The 20,329-nt window shown below is 37.8% G+C and overlaps 1 long non-coding RNA gene across 1 annotated transcript; it reads right to left on the reverse strand.

Moving 5' to 3' along the window:
* Window positions 1-5,390: 5,390 nt before the first annotated feature.
* On the reverse strand, window positions 5,391-19,466 carry LOC101929534 (uncharacterized). Its single transcript, XR_001740472.2, has 3 exons — window positions 9,166-19,466; window positions 7,810-8,020; window positions 5,391-7,410 (listed from the first exon to the last, which is right to left on the reverse strand). It is a non-coding gene; the product is annotated as an uncharacterized LOC101929534 (long non-coding RNA).
* Between the last annotated feature and the right edge of the window lie 863 nt (window positions 19,467-20,329).

Consider the following 20,329-nt stretch of genomic DNA (forward strand, 5'->3'; position numbering starts at 1 on the left):
AGAAAACCGGGGGTGTGAGGGGGTAGTAATAATATCTACCACATCGAGTTATCATGAGGCTTAAATAACATGTATGGAAAAGGCTTACCACAGTGCTAGTGTATAGAATGTACTCAAAAAGTAGTAAAAGTTATTATGATTAAAGTGCAATCGATGTTTTAAAGAAAAACAGTGGTTTTATCCTTAGGCTGAATTGTCTTCTACCCAGTAGTGTAATACAATACAAGATACTCACATGGAGAGAGAGATGAAGGATAAAAGAATAGCAGATCAGACAAGCTGCTGCAGTATAAGGCAGAATGTTTACATTAGCATAATTGAAGGAAACAGAAATTCAGTGCCATTTCTAGGGATATTGTGAAGATTAAATGAGGTGCAACATGAAAAATTACTTGGCTTGATGTCAGGTATTCAGTAAACCTTCAACAGGTGGTCAATATTAACTTATTTGTATTACCATTCAACTTTATTAGCACAAATGCTAATAAATGTTTTCAAAAGCTTTTTAAAAACTATTTTTTTCAGAAAATACACCGTATAATCTATCTCCTAATAGTTTATTCCAATTGACTGTTACTCCTTTACTCAACAGATATATATTTCTTAACAGATTAATAATTCTTACTTATATGGTGGCTTTTAAAAATGTACAGTCATATAAATTCATATACCTGAGTAAAAGATGTTTTCCTGTAAGATTTGCTAAGTTATATTTATTCCATTTTAATTTTTCCCCAAAATCAAGTCCTCAAGCATGTTAATTACTCCTACTGCTCTTCCAATGTATTACCCTTTGTTTATCTAGTTCTAAAAGTATGTGACAATGTTCAGATCTCAGCCAATTTTAATTAACTTCTGAGTTTTTAAACTACTGAAACTGTCAAATAGTTATGCTGGATAGATACTGAAATTTTAATATAATTTGATGAATTTGGAAATTCTTCTCTTAATCATGCTGCTTATTACAAGAGTTATTTTGAATGTGTGATTTCCCTCTCCTTTTTCCCTCTCAATGAAATCATTAAACGCGGTTTTCTACCCTATCTTTGGCCAACTTTTGATCATAAAATAAATTTGTAAGCTCTGGATTATTAGTACTTTTATTTATACATATTTTTGTTTTTATTCTCGCAACCTCTCAATATTTTAATTGTATCTATTTTAGTAATCAACAGAGAATTTCCAAACTGAGGATCAGGAAAAAAAAAAAAACAAATAAAGGTGAAATATTTAAAATGTTATCAGTTTTATTGCTCACTAACAGACCTCTTAAATAACAGCAGTGGAAAAAAAACCACCTTAAACCTTCTCTATCATAAAGTAATTTCAGGAAGGTAGTTGGAAAATAAATGATTGGGATAATATCTCTCAAAAACTAGATCAATTTGTCAATCCTAATTTCTATTAGAGTTAAACCAGCGCTTTGTCTTGGCTTTGGAAACATATTACATGATTAGGTAAGGATAATGTGCGATTTAATTAACAAGGTTTTTGCATGCAAGCATATCAATATATAGGGATTTCTCTAGGATGCCAATCACCATTCTATTCCTAAAAGTGTGAGTATATCTCTTGAAATCATATTTACAATAATATACTTAAGAATATTCCTTTTAAAAAAGAATATTCTCAATATATTAACTTTTATATACAAAAGAAAAATTTAGTCCAGATCTTGAAAGAAATTTCACACATTTCGCTTTATCTTATTTATTTTTATAATTTCAAATTTATTTTAGATTCATGGTACATGTGCAGTTTTGTTTCATAGGTATATTGTGTGATACTGAGGGTTTTCTGTTCTTGGATTAATTTGCTTAGGATGACAGCCTTCAGCTGCATCTATGTTGCTGCAAAGGACATGATTTTGTTCTTTTTATGGCTAGGTAGTATTCCATGTTACATATGTACCACATTTTCTTTATCCAATCCACCGTTGATGGGCATCTAGGTTGATTCTCTGTCTTTGTAATTGTAATTAGTGCTGTGATGAACATATGAGTGTATGTGTCTTTTGTGTAGAATGATTTATTTTCCTTTAGGTATATATCTAGTAATGGGATTGCTGTGTTTAAGGTAGTTCAGTTTTAAATTCTTTGAGAAAACTCCAAACTGCCCTCCATGGTGTCTGAACTAATAATTTACATTCCTATCAACAGCATATAAGTGTTCCCTTTCCTCCACAGCTTTGCCAGCATCTGTGATTTTTGACTTTTTAATAATAGCCATTCTGACTGCTGTGGGAAGGTATCTCATTGTGGTTTTGATTTGCATTTCTCTGAATGATTAGTGATGCTGAGTATTTTCATGTTTTTTGACCATTTGTATGTCTTCTTTTGAAAAGTTTGCGTCTTTTACCCACTTTGTAATGGGGTTATTTGGTTTTTGCTTATTAAATTTTTTAACTTCTTTATAGATTCTTGTTCTTAGACCTTTGTTGGATGCATACTTCATGAATATGTTCTCCCATTCTGTAAGTTGTCTGTTTAGTCTGTTGATAGTTTCTTTTGTTGTGCAGAAGCTCTTTAGTTTATATGTCGCACCTGTCAATTTTTGGTTTTGTTGCAATTGCTTTTGAGGATTTAATCATAAATTATTTCCCAAGATCGACGTCCAGAAGAGTATTCCCCAGGTTTTCTTCTAGGATTCCTGTAGTTTAACAATGTTAGGTCTCACATGTAAACCTTTAACCCATCTTGAGTTAATTCTGTAAGTGGTGTAAGGAAAGGGTCCAGTTTTATTATTCTCCATAAGGATAACCCAGCTATCACATCACCATTTTCTAAACAGTGAGTCCTTTCCATATTCCTTATTTTTGTCAACTTTGTTGAAGATCTGATGGCTGTAGGTGTGTGGCTTTACTTCTGGGTTCTTCATTCTGTAGCATTGGTCTATGTGTTTGTTTTTGTACCAGTACCATGCTATTTTTGGTTACTGCAGCCTTATAGTATAATTTGAAATCAAGTAATGTGATGCCTCTTGATTTGTTCCTTTTATTTAGGATGGCTTTGGCTTTCAACCTCTTTTTTGGTTCCATACACACATTTTGTTTTAACATAATCTTAATTATAGATTTTAAAATGTTTTATTCAACTGTGCTGGTCTTTTTCTTCCATTAATATGTTGATCATTTCTAAACTTTTCTTAATACGTGGCAATGGTTCAACAAAATAAAGAGGTTCTGTTCTTATGAATATCATATATTTATAGGATATCTTAATTCAACTTTTCAAATGAGCATTATTCAAGCTTATAACTTTGACACAAAAAGTTGATAATGCTGGATGAAAAAGAAAAATAGGACTAACTCATGTCCTTCTTTGTTGTTAATGTTTATTTTGTTCTGTTCTGTTTTAAGGTACTCTGGTACACTAAGAAAGGATGAAATGCTTGTAGAAGGCAAGCATTTAAAATACATGCTTTCTATAGTCCCTTCATAAGAAGTAGAGTCCATCATGGTGTCTCTAATGTAAAAGATGAATTTTCCAGAAGAGATAAAACCATGGTTCTCATACAAATATAAAATTAATGCATGTCAAAGATTATATTTAACTCACTAGTAAATGAGGAAACAAGTAAGATGTTACAACTCCCTCAGAAAAGAATTTAAAGTGTTTCCACATATAAGTAATCAGGAATTCTGAAATAAATTTTCAAATAGATACAAAATTGATCACTATATATAAGACAATATAATAATCAATGGCATTCCACCTAACATATTTCATTTGTATTTCTGTGGGCAAAAATCACATGCATTATTATCAATTTTCTGACAATCGCTCTCCAAGAAAACAACAAGCAAACGTGCTGAGAAAGGTGCACTAGATAGAATGCCTAATAGTCTTGTTTGCCCATTTCAAGATCTTTCACAATTTTTACCTAGACTAAAATGTTTTCTTAAAAGTCTTCTTGGCCGGGTGTGGTGGCTCATGCCTGTAATCCTAGCACCTTGGGAGGCTGAGGCTGGCAGATCATGATCATCCTAGCTAACATGGTGAAACCTCGTCTCTGCTAAAAATACAAAAATTAGCCAGGCATGGTGGCACGTGCCTGTAGTCCCAGCTACTTGGGAGGCTGAGGCAGGAGAATCGCTTGAACCCAGGAGGCGGAGGTTGCAGTGAGCCGAGATCATGCCATTGCACTCCAGCCTGGGTGACAGAGCAAGGCTCAGCCTCAAAACAAAAAAGTCTTCTTAAACTCCTTAAACATCTGTCCTAATCAGAACTGAAATAGTTTTAGTTTTTCAACACTATTAGTTGGGGTGAATAGCACTTTCTGGCTCACACAGAGTTTATGCATTATGTTGGAAGAAAGGTAACTTCTTACATTTAAGAAAGAGGATAGAATTTAGGAAGTTTCCACTAGGAGTAAAAACAAAGGTTTGTAGGGGAAAAGGCAATCAGTGCTGATGGGAAACTTAATGTCATAATGTTGGGCATGTGTCAGCAGAGAGCATGACTATGAAGGATAGCACCAGCCCACGCAGAGCAGCAGACCCAACAGAGAACCAATGATGGAGCTGCTGTTGTAGCCAGAGATGCAATGGTATGGATTCCAAGTCCCATGGGCTAAGAATGAGCCCTATCCCTGGTTTCCCAGATCTATGTAAGCTCAGAGTTTTCAAATGGAGGAACAGATCCTAAATATGCCTGATAGCAGATTTCTGGTCTAACCTCGTAACTCAAGACTCTGTGCTGAATATAATCTGACTTATAAAAGTAATGTGACATTTATAGAAAAGAAATATAGTATAGTAAGTCCATTCCCACCATACTAGTTTAGCATTTGGTTAATGGCATTACAAAAAAAGATTATCTATTCTTCATTTATTTATATTTCCAAGGCCAATAAAGCACAGAATTTTTTACTTTGGGAAAATAAAGATCAGAAATAAAATAGTAAAACACATTGCAGAGTATGTTTTATAAAACTGTTTCCTAAAACCCTTGAAATTTTTAGATTTTGCTAGTTAATTCAAAATCAGAGATTAGTAATCTGTTGCGATATCCAACTATGTTTGTGAATGAATGAGGTGTGCATACCAGTGTGAAATTTTTATCAGTTATAGCTTCACTGGAAGAGGTTTTACCTCTAGAGGAGCCAACATATTCCTTTTATGGATATTTCAGAAAATAAAGTCAGTTATCAGCTTAATATAAACCCCCTTAATAGATCATAACATCACTCACATCTATTAAAGCACTCAATTGTTGATCCATGCATCCATTCAATAGATATTTATGTAGTGACTTTTCGTTGGCAGACAGTGTTGTGAGAGCACAGCAATGGCAAAATCTCCACTCCCACAGAGCTTTTATTTCAATGAGAAGGAATAAAAGGGAAATAAATAATATGGAGAAAACCTACAAATGCAAAGGATATACAAGTTCCAAGCAGTGGAGAATGAAATTTATTGATGTCATCAGGAAAGGACTTAATGAAAAGATAACAACTGAGCAAAATTCTAAAATTGTGGAAGCACAATACTACATGCAGAATGCTAGGCAGAGATTTGCTGCAGAGGAATTAAAAAAAAAACAAACCACACCACCAACAAAACAACATTTACCCTGAGGAAGGAACACTGAGTATATCTGGAATGTTTAGGAACGGCAAAGAAATAAGTATGGTTGAAGCCCGCTGAGAAGAGACAGCAGTAGTGACACATTGTATGAGTTATTGTACGGACTCTAAATGGAATGGAAAACCATCTCATGCAACATATGATGGTAATGGTATAATTCCAAGATTGCCAGACATTTAAACAAGCATAATGCCCATTTACTGCACTTAAATTTGGTAGTTATAAAATATCAACTGGCAGTATAACATTTGCAAATTATTAAATAGCATTGTGTGTTCAGTTGCTGTAGCTAAGATCTAAGTATCAGTAGTTAAAACAAAGAAATGTTTATTTTTTCTCTTGCATAAAAGTCTAGACATAAGCAAACTAGGGCTGCAAGACAGTTCCATAGTATCAGGGATCCAAGTCCCTTCTGACTTCTTCTCTACAATCTCCAGTATATTGCCCTGTCAACATGGTCCAGAATGAATTATGACCAGATCACTACTCTAGTGAGTGGAAAAGATAAAAGGGAAATGGAGGGTTATGCCTTTCCTATAAGAGTGCAACCAGGCAGTTGTGCACCTCATTTTTCCTATCCCCATTGAAGATTACTTCAGCTAATGCTACTGAAAGCAAAGCAGGAACATGTAGTTTCTATTCTGGTTGGCCACGTGCCAAGTTAAAATTAGGGGTTTTATTATTAGGCTGGTGCAAAAGGAACTAAGGTTTTTGCCATTAAAAGTAATTAATGCCATTAAAAGTAATGGCAAAAACCGCAATTCTTTTTGCACCAATCTGTTACTAGAGAAAAAGCAGGTAATGGATGTTTGACAATTAGTATTGTCTAGTTTAAGCAGATTCAAATAACCATTTTAATTTAAAATGTATTAAGCATCTTTAAAAACAGTGTGAAATCAAAGAAAGAATATCTGACAAAGGGCCAAGAGATGTTGGTCCTTTTCCAGATCTACCAAGAACTAGCTGTGCAACCTTGAAGCAGTCACTCAACTCCTCTTAAATTTGGTATGCCATCTGTAGTACTGAACTAAAAATACTCAGCTGCACCTAAGCAAAAGATTCTCCCTAAAACTTTAGAAAAGTCACTTTTATCAAATGTATACTAGTTCTAAAATATTGAGGCCTATATAATGTTATAAAAACTCAACAGCAGAAATATCTGGCATCCAGCCCAAGGCATACCAGATGTGTCTCTTAAAAGCCAAAAGCAATTGTCTTTATCTTTGAAAATTAAGAGAAAAAAATCCAAAACTCAAAGTGAATATAATTTTTTCTACCTCTGTCCAGATGGAACTTTGCAATTGCCTCACTGATGGGGTACAATGACCCAGCTGAATGCACCACAGGATAACTGGCTGACATTCCTGACATCACAGCTGATAAGGTCAGCCAGATAATCTTCCAGCATGGATATAAGAAATAAGCAATTTGTTTTTGTACAGTTAACGTGGTTGCCACAGTATTTATTCACAGAAAGCTATTAGTTGCGAATGTGCCAGATAACTCTAAGAAGTGCTTTACTTGGGTTCACAAATCACAGAAGATGCTGAGATGTTGTCCTATGTTGGATCTTGTCAGAGATTTTGTTTTCTTCATTGAACACATTTCCTCATAGCCCATTTGTGGTTCTGCTCTCTTTGCTATCCGCTTTCCAATGCCAGAAAAACATTCATTCACGGGGCCAAAGCCAGTCATGGCAAAAACCAGGTCCTTTGCTCCTCTTTCAGTGAATGTTGTGAAGTCTCCCTCCATAAACAGAGAAAGGAAATTTGTCAGTCTTGATCTTGTGGCCAGAGTCAGAGTTCCCAGGAAAACCATTTAGTCTGAAGAAAATAGTATCCAGCCATAAAACAAAAAGAAATATTTTAGTGTCTACTAACATTGTAACCTAATACATATTTAAGAGAAAATAATAAAAAAGAAGGGCCTCACAAACACAAAAAACAAAAACATAGAATAACATCTCTTCATTTAGGTACTAACACTGTAGTCTATCAGAAACAATTACAGTGACTTAATGCTACACCTTTTTATTTTGATAACTTTTGTTGAGTGAGAAACATGATTAAAGTAAATGATTAAACACATGCTGCTTTACATAAATCAAATGTTCTGTGGGAATCAGAAAATCAGTGATTTTCTTTAATGGGTTAATTTGGTGTTCTGTTTAGAAAGCAAAAACCAGATATGATGACAGAGCACAAAAAGATAAATGTTCATACCTGCAATAGCAACAACAACCTCCACAGTTAACTTGACAGAATGAATTTCTGTGGATACATTTAATAATTGAGGTGCTGAGTAAGTTCAATTTATTCATTCTGGTCTACTTCACACAATGGGGATTGAGTCACTGGAATAAAATTCTGATGCTTCCAATCTCTGTCTTTTGTTTACGTTTTTTTTCTGAAGTCAGGCATTTAGTAATATGGGCTGATAAAACGGAAGACAAAAGATCAGTGCACAGCAAAATCGTTCAGGACCTAAAATTACTCATCCTCTCTATAGCTAATTTTGTTATGAATACTTTTGTAAAGTGAAGAATAGTTACCCTTTTGTTAAAAATAAATCTTCAAAAACTACTTTTGGCATCTGAACTACAAAAACAGTTGTGTTTAGTAAAAAGATCATTTACTTTAGAGTCATAAAATTAGGACTTGTATCATGGCTCCACCATTATAATGATTCAGTGATTCAAGGAATACGTACATATATAATATAAACTAACTGTTATGCTGTAGGCAGTAAACAAATATTAGTTTATATGCTAACTTAAGCATGAGATTTAACATAAAAGTCTTTACGGTACACTGGGTTAAGAGCATTAAATCTGGTGCCAGATTGCTTGGGTTTTAATCCTGCCACTTTTGATTTTATGTCTTCTGTATCTCAGTTTCCTCATCTGTAAAACTGGGATAGTGTATTAGTCCATTCTTACACTACTATGCAGAAATGCTCAAAACTGGGTAATTTATAAAGAAAAAGAGGTTTAATGGACTCGCAGTTCCATATGGCTGGGAGGCCTCACAATCATGGCAGAAGGTGAAGGAGGAGCAAAAGGCATGTCTTACATGGCAACAGGCAGGAGAGCATGTGCAGGAGAACTGCCCTTTATAAAACCATCAGATCTCATGAGACTTATTCAGTATCGTGAGAGCAGCATGGAAAAATCCTGCCCACATGATTCAATTCCCTCCCATCTGGTCCCTCCCACAACAATATGTGGGGATTATGGGAGCTACAATTCAAGATGAGATTTGGATGGGGACACACCCAAACCAAATCAGATAGCAATAGTATATACCACCTAAAGTTATTACGAGAATAAACAGAATTTATTTATTTGTAGTGGGGAGAGAGGGCCGAGGAGATAAGCCAAGAAGGAAGCTACATGGAGTACCAATCTTCATCGCACACATTTGGGCCATGAAGAGTAGATGACACTTGAGCCTCCTGGCTGGTCATGGACCAATGCAATACAAAGCAGAGCTCAGCCCCAGAGGAAAGAGCTTGAGGATGAGATCACCAGCAGGGGTCAGAAAGAAGATGAGGCAGAATATCTCAAGGGCTAACCATACCTGAGGGACCAGCTTGGGTCTGAGTGCCTGAGCCGTGGGGCCTGTTGAGGCCACCAGCCACACACCCTGTATCCTTAGGCAACAGTTTGTACCTGTGGTAATAACAAATAGGAAAAGTGATGCCATAGCAGGCAGTCATATAAGAAGACAGATGTCTGTTTCCTCTTCCTCTTTCCACCCCAATACAATAAGCATAAGTGCTGGGAAGGAACTTGGTGAATAAGTTTATATCTCACCCTTGCAGAGCTCACTAGTTGATAAGGCAAACATTCAAACAAAGAAATATTGAACAATTAACTTAACGACTTTATAAAGGTATTGTTTGTGTTGGGTCCTGAAGGATGAGTATGAATTCTCCAAGCAGGCAAGGGAAAGAAAAAAAAATTTAAAGTAAAATCTGATGCAAATATCATGAAGAAATTCTCAGAGGCATAAAAGTGCATGACATGTTCCCCCCCAAAAATCACTCAGTTAGAATTATGGGCACCAGGAAACAGGAAGATGACAAAGAAGTTAAGGAGGAGGCAAGAAAGAGGTGCTCCAGGATGCAAGGTGGAAAGAGTTTCATGCCGGGTATTGAAAGGCATTCCCTTTATACCCAGATAAAGGTTAGAAATTTATTCTGTAGGAAATTAGGAACCATTGAATAGCAACAACAAAAAAATGGAGACTTTTGAGTCTCATGTGTCATAAATTATCTTCCTGACTTTTTAAAACCAACTGGTGGCGAATGATTTCAAGAAGAATATTTGATATAAGAAATCTTAGGAAAAGAAATAAACACCATTACAGGGTTGCAAGGGAACTTATATATATGCATTTTACTAGACCAGAAATCTCCTCAGACATTAGAAAACCATAACAAACCATAAATTTCATGGTTGCCTATGATTTATTTGCTCCATACATACCTACACACATACCTACATACATACATACCTAAATGGACTGGCCACACAAATACCCCCAAAATATGTGATGCTGATAAATACATAGTAGCATTTGCTAGAGATTCAACTCCATATTGACCCCACTTTAGCTCTCTATTTGACCCTTTCTTTTTTTCCAATTGGGAGAAAAGAAAAATAAGGCAAAAGAGCCACAGTTTTTGGCAAAGCAGATTTAAAATAAGGTCTGCCAAGTTCAAAATTGAAAATGCAGCAGCTGTTTGCACAAAACATGGGCCAAAAAATTCCTGCGTGACTGACAATATGCCTTTGCTTCCGGCCTCACAATCCTTGATCAGGGTATTCGTTTCAGCAGCTGTCAGCTAAATCTAGAAGGAAGGTTTCTTCTTACTATAGGGGAGAAGATACCCAAAAGGAAAGAATTAAGGGTGCATACTCTATAATGGGAGTGCTTCTAAGGAGAAAATCTGTGCTTCCAATGGGGGGGAAATGTGCATGGGAATAGAAAAGTGACGTTTCTCACAATGTGGGTAGATTCAACACAATGCGTGTCCTAAATATTTGGAGAAGTGTCTTACTTCTGTTGCAGAGGAGAGCGCCAGAGGCCCAGACAGGGTGCACAGGACTAGAAGATACTAACTGCTTCTGGAGAAGGCACCTATGTCTGCCATGGCAACAGTGGAAGTGGCAGGAACAAACACTGAGAAAGTGTCTAAGGCAGCACCATCTCTCACATCAGCTCAGCAGCTGTGATGGGAGCAGGCCAAAGGCATTTGTGGAACCAGTTCAATAAGGGCAATGGCCACTGCCTGGCAAGTGCACAGCCAGCAGATGGAGAAAACTGCCTAAGGCTCAAAATATAAAGGAATTCCATGGTGATAATTGCAGTTAAGAGCACCCAAGGACACAGCAATGATTTAGAGAACAAAAACTTGGGGGGACAGGAAAGCAAATAAACAGCCCTTTTTACCTTCCTCATTCAACTGTAAAACAAATAGGAAGAAAGGAAAGTTGGACACATGGATATAAAATGATCACACTACTGATAAAGCTTATTGCAGAATATAGCTCAAGATCTGTAGTTAAAGTGGCTTGTTTAGGCTTTATCCTAAACCAGACATTGGCATATCTGGATAACCACAAGCCTTGTCTATTGAGGCAGGCTTGGTGAAAGGAACACCTGAATTGTATGTGCTGTGGACAAATTATATCTGGGAAGTGATAAGGAGCTGAAATTGACACATTAGGACTTCCATGTTCCAAATAAAATTATTCACTCTCCCACCCATGGGTAGGAATAAAAAGAGAAAGGATAGAGGTTCTCTCCCCAACCCACTGTAATTTTTTCTAGAGAGTGAAGTAGTAATTCTCTCCCCTTCATGGAAACATGAGGGGCATGAAGGGGGAATACTATTACACTAACTATAAGAATAATAGCAACTATTATTTATGAAATGTTTGTTGTTTTCCAGCATTGTGCTTTGTGTGCCTTATCTTATTTAACCCTCACTACAACCCTATAGGTAGGTACTGTTTTTAAACCTCACTTTAACAGATGAGCAGATGGAATCTGGGGATTAGATATCTTGACCAAGATTACAGTTATTAAGAGACAAAGTCTGGATTCTGTGCTTCAAATCCCTGGATACTTTTGTCTCCTAGAAGTGAGAACTGTGAGCTCCTTAGTGTTCCACCAGGAAGACAAAGAGACTGGGTAAGGATAGAAATGGGTTCAAGTTCTATATATTATTGGGGGAGATGAGGGCAGAAGAACTGACAAAAAAATTCTTGGGTTGGTTATAACTTACTCCCTCCAGATGCTGAGTCCCCTGTTAGATAAATTCTTCAAAGCAAAAATGTATTTTTTTCATAGAAGCTTAGGGTTACTTAATTATATCACATACATAGAAAACATAGCTCCATATTCTAAGCGTATACAGAGAAAAGGCTTATAGATATGAATGTGGGTGGTGGCCAACTTATCTAAGCCTTGAGTCACCATCTTTTTACCTGTATCTGTATCCTTTAAAGATTGCTGGTGAGAGACAGTAGTCCATTTCTATAATAAAAGAATATTATTTTGCAAGTATAGAGCAAGATTATGCCAAATGGTAGTACTTACAGTCCAAGGCACTTACATTGTCATCAACCTATGAAAAGCAACCCAAAATCTATAGACAACTGGGTGATTTATAGTAAAGGTCTTTTAATTATTACCATGTGGTGGTAAAAAGAGCAAAAATAGGATAAAACAGCTATCTTCATATGTGATTTGAATAGTTAAATGAGAAACAGAAAACACTGGGATATTTTCATCTCTGTAAATTTGTTACTAAGTGGCCTTTATATGCTTTTTGAAACCCTAATCTTTTCCCCATCTGGATCATAATATAATACATATAATATTCCACTAAATAAACACAAAGATGTTTATAGTACTATTTGCATCACCTCTTTTGGCAGGTTAGGACAATATTATATAAAAATACCACCTCAAGGGAAGATTAAATTTTGACAGAGGTGTCAATAACTCACATTTGGTCTTTGGCGTCCCTAATTATCATCCTTGCTTTCTCTGCTCTTCCCTTCCTGTCGTTCCTACCTTTCTCCAGGTATACAGAGCTCCTGCCTCTCCAGATTTCTCCTACCATGAAGATAAATGATCTGGTTAATAAATTAATGCATGTCTCTACAGATTTCTGTTTTAAGATTAGTCTACAGCATGACTGCAGAGCTAAAACAAGGCAATAGATATATGGAATCTCAAACACAAATAAAGGAAATTTAGAGGAAGGAAAATCTTACTGGTTTCCTTTAAATTACACCACCTACATGACACCATTTGCCCCACCTCTGAATGTTAAGGCTGATTCATAGAATTATCAGCTATAAAAAGATATTTAAAGTTTGTAAGTTCAGGAATAAACAGAATAATAGAGTCCAGTGGTTCTGAGAAGGCCTCTCTGCTATCCCAATAGCTCTTATACACAGAGAATTGCTAACTAAAATCCCAAAATTAGAAAGTGTCATTTCGTTGTCATCTTTTGAAAATGTACATACTCCCAAGCTAGACAACATTCTTAGCTTAATAATGCATCCAGCCAATATTTTCTAAGATACTTCTATGCGCCTGGCTGTGTGCTAGGTACTAAGGATACAAAGATATTTATGTAACGAGCTCAGTAATTAGGTGGAAACCCAGACATGTAAACAAATAACTAAAAGGCAATATAATAAGTTCTATAACAGAAGAACCGACACAGAGATGAGAGTAACTGAGTCACCTGGAAAAAAACTCTTAAAAGACTTCCTATAAAACACAACCTTTTAACTGGTTCCAAAATGAGTGCAGTTTTTGATCAAAGAAGTCAGCAAGCTTGAAGCTGCAGAGACTTGAAAGGACTCTACAAGAAAGGAAAGAATCAGATGTGTGCATAAAATAATCTGTTTGTTTACACCTTTTTGGGGTCCTAGAGAATAAAGTAACTCTTTCTAAACTCAAAGAACATTCATACATCTCCTCTTGATTATAGCTAAAGACATAAATATGCACTAATAAACCAATGTGCTAAAAATATGCACTCTTTTTACTAAGAAAACATGTACCAACAGAGATACGGGTAAATGTAGAAACTACTATATATGTCAGTAGGCATCAAGATAGAAAACAAAATTTTTAAATTGTGGTTTTATTATTTTTTACCTATGTGAACTCAGCTGTCTATTGTCTATTTACTTAACATTATTAAGTGCCTACCAATTGCCACGTGCTTTTCAAGACACTGGGGATTTATTAGAGAAGAAGCCAAAGTAACCGAACTTCACAGAGCTTACGTTCCTAAAGAAGAAGATGGAAAATAAACAAGAAACAAATATGTAATATATTCCAGGTGTGGCTAAGTTGAAGCATCTTGCAAGCAACTCAAGGAAAAGAAAACCCACGTGAAATACAGGGAAAATAGAAAAAGTTTAGATTTGAGGCATTAGAGACTGGCTGAAGCTGCTAGAACTTAAGGTGCCAAGATCACAGAGACTCTGAAACCACCGAGAGGTGGGCAGATATCGTGTTGGCCATTTTTTCTTGCGGGGCAATTCTTGGAATGCTGAAAACTAAGTCAGGGAGTTTCCATACCCTTACGTGTCTATAGGAGTCACCTGGTCCTCTGAATGTCAGGGTCTGGGGAACAGGCATGAGGAAATTATGCTGATACTCTGGCTACTGCTATTACTGTCCTTTGTTCTTTGTCAGTTACCCAGGCATCTCATGACTTCTGTTAAGCAGCAGAGAAGCCAACAGAGGCGTCTCCTGTCTCTCCTTCAAGGGCAGAGGGTGTTTTGTATCTCTTTCACCTTGCTGCAAAGGATGTTCACCTCTGGTCTGAGGGTGATAGTGTTTGTTGCCCTTTCCACAGAAGCTTGTCTTTTACTCTGTAGAGAAGTAGGGGAGAAGGTTCTTGGTAAGGCTTTCTGCCTTTTCCTTTTCCTCTTCCACAACATCTTTTGTTCCCCACTCCTGTGCCTGCATCAAGATGAAGGCTTTCTCAGGACTCCCACCATGCTCTTAATCTCTCTTGTAAGTACCTGGTGAGCTCTGTGGTGATCATGCACATACCTGCAATTTCCCCTTCTGACTGCAGCTCCCAGGGATTCTATGCACTCATGCTAAAACAAAGTCAGTTTTTAGCAATTTGTCAAAAATTGTAGTTGCATTCTTCTGAACACATTTTATGGGGTCCAGCATCTGCTGCAAAAAAGCAAATGCTCATAGTCTGTGTCTCCTTTCAGGTGAATATCTTCCTTTAGATTTTGGGTTAGTTGGCTGCCCCAAAACCTCAGCTCTCTGATGAATCCAAGAACAACTATGAATTTACAGATGATCTATTTTCTATATTATAAGGGTACAAAGGATGCCCTGACCAGCCTTTTACATCCTAAGCAAAAGCCAGAAGATAACTCTCCTTTTTTTAACCACTAGTACAATTCATCCGTATGTTGGGAAAGAAATAGTCACTTATTCCCACACCTTTTATAAAAGCTTATGCTTTTCTTGAATTTTACATATTTAAATGTTTTCACCAAAAAAAGACAAGTATGTGAAGTGATAGATATGCTAATTATCTATGATTAATGAGTTAATCATTTCATGTTGCATACATATATCATAACATCACTGTTTACCACTAAAATATGTATAATTATAATTTTTCAATTTACAACAAAATTTTAAAATAAAAAATATCTAATAATAACAAAATTCTTTGTGAGAAATAACCTAATACTTATCAAAATGTTGAGCAAATGCTTGTGGATTTACTCTGTCTAAATACTTCGGTCCATAACTAAGCACATATAGCTTTTTTATGTCATATACAAACAGATGGTACAGAAATGTCAGTCCTCTTATCATAAACTAGTAGAGTGACAGGCAAATTAATGAAACACATGTCCTTTTTTCTGATATTTAATGTACCAACATATGATAAAAGACTTTACGCTTTATAAAATCTTGTTTTCAATGGCAAATATATAACTGAAAGAAGATTGTCTATCAACAAATTTCACCAAATTGACTAAAGGTACTAATTCAATTAGCAAGTAGTTTTAAGTTAATAGCAGTTTATGTCCTAAATAGTAAATAAGTGACTCATATTTGGCCTAAGAAGTAGCTCATGGGATTTAAGATACAAAGATTAAGTGTGTTTCATTTGAACAAATGAGCTTGGAGAAAAGTACTTCTTGAAGAATATCTTGGAAAATAGACGACTTGGGGGGAAGGTTGATAAACATAGGTCAGTTTTCTACCAGATAAAGAGGCTTGTTTATAATTAATCTGATGGTGCTAAAAAGGCTTTTAATTAGATTTCTAACACAAAATGGGAAAGGATAGGTTTGGGGTCTGAAACACAAGAGTTCAGCCATCTGCTGCCAACTAGCCCTTGCCAACATGTGATTTGCAAGTTAAATTATGCCAGCTGATGACATATGGTGCTCCTTCTTTAAATATCTTACTCAAAATGAGTTTGCTGCTCTACCACTCGGCTAAATACTAAATGCTCTCAAATGCTGAGTTTGGCTTTCAGAAGAAACAATGGTTTCCATAGTTTTCCTTAGCAAACAAATCTAAGTAAAGGAACACAGATCTAAGTTATTGGCTATGTGTTATTGTCCTGCGGCATGATTGTGAGTTATAGAAATTCAGCCTCTGAAATGTTCACATTCAGAATTTACAAACTTAAAATTCTCCTCAGTTTTAGGTTAACGAAGTAAAGAAGACAAAAGTCACCTCCCTAGGTTTTGATCTGTATTTGAGGAAAGAAGAAAGATAATCTAAAAAAGTTAAAAAAAAAAAAAAACTATTTGAATCCATTGCTTCATCTCTAGAATGATGTGTCTGTCAGTTGGCAGAAGAGTTCAGACTGACTGACAGTGCAGTAGGTGTCAAAAATTTAAACCATCAACACACTGCAAAACAACGTATTTTTATTCCCAGTGGTCTAAAGCTGCAAAATTCTGTCTCTCAAGGTTTTGGGCTTTGCAATAGTTACAATAATTTGTAACTATTTGTCTCCAGAATTATTGATCCCATCTGGCTTGAATTAATGCCACATTTTTCCAGACCCTTTGATCTCTCAACCTCTACAAAATTCTCCATAGCAGTTTTAATAGGAACTAACTAAACACATCTATGTAAGCCAATAACTACACTTATGCTAAGACTATATAAGTACACACAAACACACACACATACATCTTCCACTAATCACACCATAAATTTCTCTACCTGCGATACATCCCTATTGTCACTTGAAGGTACGGATTTGAGGCTATTTGATTGAAAATTATGGTGCCTGTCGATCATAGTTTTTGTCTCAGCTGTTTGTACTCCCTATCCAGTCCTAATTTTGTGATCATGACTAAATCTTATAGGTATCAATGGCAGTTCTCTTTCGGTAAGACTTAGCCTCCTAACAAACTTGCAGCATTTTCTCCAGTTGTCACTATGGACTACATCGCTACAAAATTAAATTTAACTCCTTTTCTTTACTATATTCATCTGCCATAAAGCAAAGACTTTATGGATTTCCCAAACAAGGCAACATATCTTAAATATTGATGGCAGTGGCAGCCCATCTGGAGTGACGGCTGCAAAGCTGCCAGCTACAGTGAGGGAAGTCCAGCTGGGGTTGCGTGCTCCGAGGAGACGGTGGGACAGGAACAGGCAGGAGCTACACCTCCTGCCGAGTCAGCAGGGCAGGGCAGGAGTCCGTGCTCCCAGGCACAGCTGAAGCCTCCTGGGTGCAGCTCCAGAACTGGGCATCCCTGTGCTCTCGGGGGCCCAGGAAACCCCCCTTCCCCAACAGGATCAGAAGTGCCCGCTCCTACTCCCTGGCCTCTCCCCACTCCTGGAACCCACTCTGGTGAAGAGCAAAGTTTTAGCCAAGCCCAGGCGCTGTAGCGACCGCCAGTGTGTGTACCTCAGGCAGCACTGACACGGTCAGCCTCCTGCCGCTTCAGACCCCCGCCCCCAGACTTTGGACACTGTGTTAGTCTGTTTTCATACGGCCGATAAAGACATACCTGAGACTGGGTAAATTATAAAGAAGAGGTTTAATGGACTTAAAGTTCCATGTGGCTGAGGAGGCCCCACAATCATGGCGGAAGGCGAAAGTCACATTTTACGTGGCAGCAGGCAAGAGAGAGAATATGAGAACCAAGCGAAACGGTTTTCCTCTTATAAAACCATAAGATCTCGTGAGACTTATTCACTACCACGAGAACAGTATGGGGGAAACCACCCCATGATTCGACTATCTCTCCGTGGGACCTTCCCACAACACTTAAGAATTATAGGATCTACAGTTCAAGATGAGATTTGGGCGGTGACACAGCCAAACCATATCAGACACTGACAAGCATGGGAGGGAGGCCAGGGCAGTGACTGAGAGTGGCTCGACCCAGGCCTGCAGGCACACCTTGGCACAAACATCTTGTGCACTATGGACGGCATGTTGATGACATTGGGAGGCAGACGGGTTCCTGGGTGGAAAGGAGCAGGTCACCAGTGAAGCCCCACTTTCAAGCCAGGGATGGCCTGGAACCTGGGGGCTGGGCTGTTAGTTCCAGGTCGAGTCCGTGGCCTGGAGTGAGAACTTATGGGTGCTTTTTCCAGGCCCACCCATGGCTACCCATAAACCAATTAGCACACACTTCCTCCCTTCTGAGCCTATAAAAAACCCAGAATCAGCCAGATTTCACACAGATGCTGGGACTACCAGCTGTGGGAAGGAGCTACCCACTCTTGAGTCTCCAGAGAGCTGTTCTGTGGCTTAATAAAGCTCCTCTCCACCTTGCTCATCTTTCAGTTGTCTGCATACGTCATTCTTCCTGGATGTGGGACAAGAACTCAGGACCCATCGAATGGTACGACTGAAAGAGCTATAAAAAAACAAACAGGGCTGGAACATGTCCCCACTGCTCACCAGTCGTGGGCAATGAGAAGGAGAAGAGAGCTGCGGCCTTTTGGGGAGCCCAGACATGGGAGCCCCCCAAGCCAGGGCTGCGACACCCTCTTTGAGACTCCGGTCTCTGGCATTTTCAAGCTCCCAGGAGCCACTGTGTTCCCTCTGTCCAAATGCAGGTGCCTGCAGTGGAAGCTGTTTGTGGTGCATCTGATCCAGCCACAGGCTTGCACAGGAGTCAGTGCTCGAGCCGGCGTCTGGAGCTGCCTGCCCTGCTTCAGCAGCCGGCATGCCTGGCTGTGCACAGTGGCCAGACCCCACACTCACTCACTCATGCACCCTGTGCCACTCCATCCCCGACTCACCCTTGGCAGGCATGGGATCCAGGCTGGTAGCCTGAGGCAAGCGCAGCCTGCCAGGCCGAGTGGGTGAAATAAGCTCTGGGCCTCGAGCAAAACTCGAGCAAAGGTTCCACCAGCCACAGAAATTTCTAGCTGGAAAAGTGACACCCGATGGCTCCCATGACAATATTTCATTACTTTGTATCTCTGTGATACAGAGGATTTAAAAATAATGTAATCAACAAATAAGTGAAAATGTAGGTTGATGAACCAACACAAAAAAAATAAAATGCTGGTAGAGCATGAAATGATTGTTTTGGTTTTCCTTGGGAAGCCAAAGGCAATTGGAATTTCAGGGAAACTGACTAACATGATGTATTAGTCTGTTCTCACATTGCTATGAAGAAATACCCAAGACTGGGTAATTTATAAAGATAAGAGGTTTAATTGACTCTTAGTTCCATATGGCTTGGAAGGCCTGAAGAAACTTATAATCATGGTGGAAGGCACCTCTTCACAGTGCAACAGGACAGAGAATGACAGCCAAGTGAAGGGGGAAGCCCCTTATAAAACCATAAGATCTTCTGAGAACTCACTCACTATCACAAGAAAGGTATGGGAAAAACCGACCCCATGATTCAATTATCTCCACCTGGTCCCGCCCTTGACACATGGGGATTATTACAATCCAAAGTGAGATTTGGGTAGGGACACAAAGCCAAACCACATCACATGAGCACTGACCAATGAGAACATAGCTGGTTTAGAATAGTGTCTTGGACTGGGAGGCCCCTGCCTGTGTCAGGAATTAAAACTTTAATTGCTGGACTGTGACAAGAGACAGAAGTGAGGCAATAAGCGATAGGAGATAGTTTGACTTAGGAAAGATGTTGTATAAAACTAGTTCATAATCATTTTTATGTTTTAACAACCAATATGTTATATTTTTATACAATGGCTGAATATTAGTCCCAGTCTATAGATTTGCTTCCAATGTTCCCAATAGTGAATTTTTGTAACACACAAGGTTTCAGAAAATAAATCTTCATAGTTCTAAAGGATACACTAAATCCTGATGAAGTTAAATCTATCACATCTCTTTGTACCACCAGTATCAATAAAACACAGAAAAATCTACCTGTTCTAGAATTGAATATGAGATGCGTGTGTCTGCATGTGCTGGAAACGGTGGGTAAAATGTGTGCATTTCAGCGTTCTAAGCCCTTAAATGTATGATTCAAATGTCTCAGCTTTATTAGACTTTAAATACGAATATTGTCACATTAATTGTAAAGTCTTATTTCCTGTATTTAACTACCACCTTTACTTGCAGGCTTCTACCCCACCCTACCCATGGTATTTCTGATAATTCTTGGAGCGTGCTTGTGATGTGCTTATGAAGCAGAACAGCAGTTCACAGGAGCCACATGACTTGCTCTATGTGCTTAATGTCTAA

This window comes from Homo sapiens, chromosome 3 (assembly GCF_000001405.40).
Source record: "Homo sapiens chromosome 3, GRCh38.p14 Primary Assembly".
Taxonomy (NCBI): domain Eukaryota; kingdom Metazoa; phylum Chordata; class Mammalia; order Primates; family Hominidae; genus Homo; species Homo sapiens.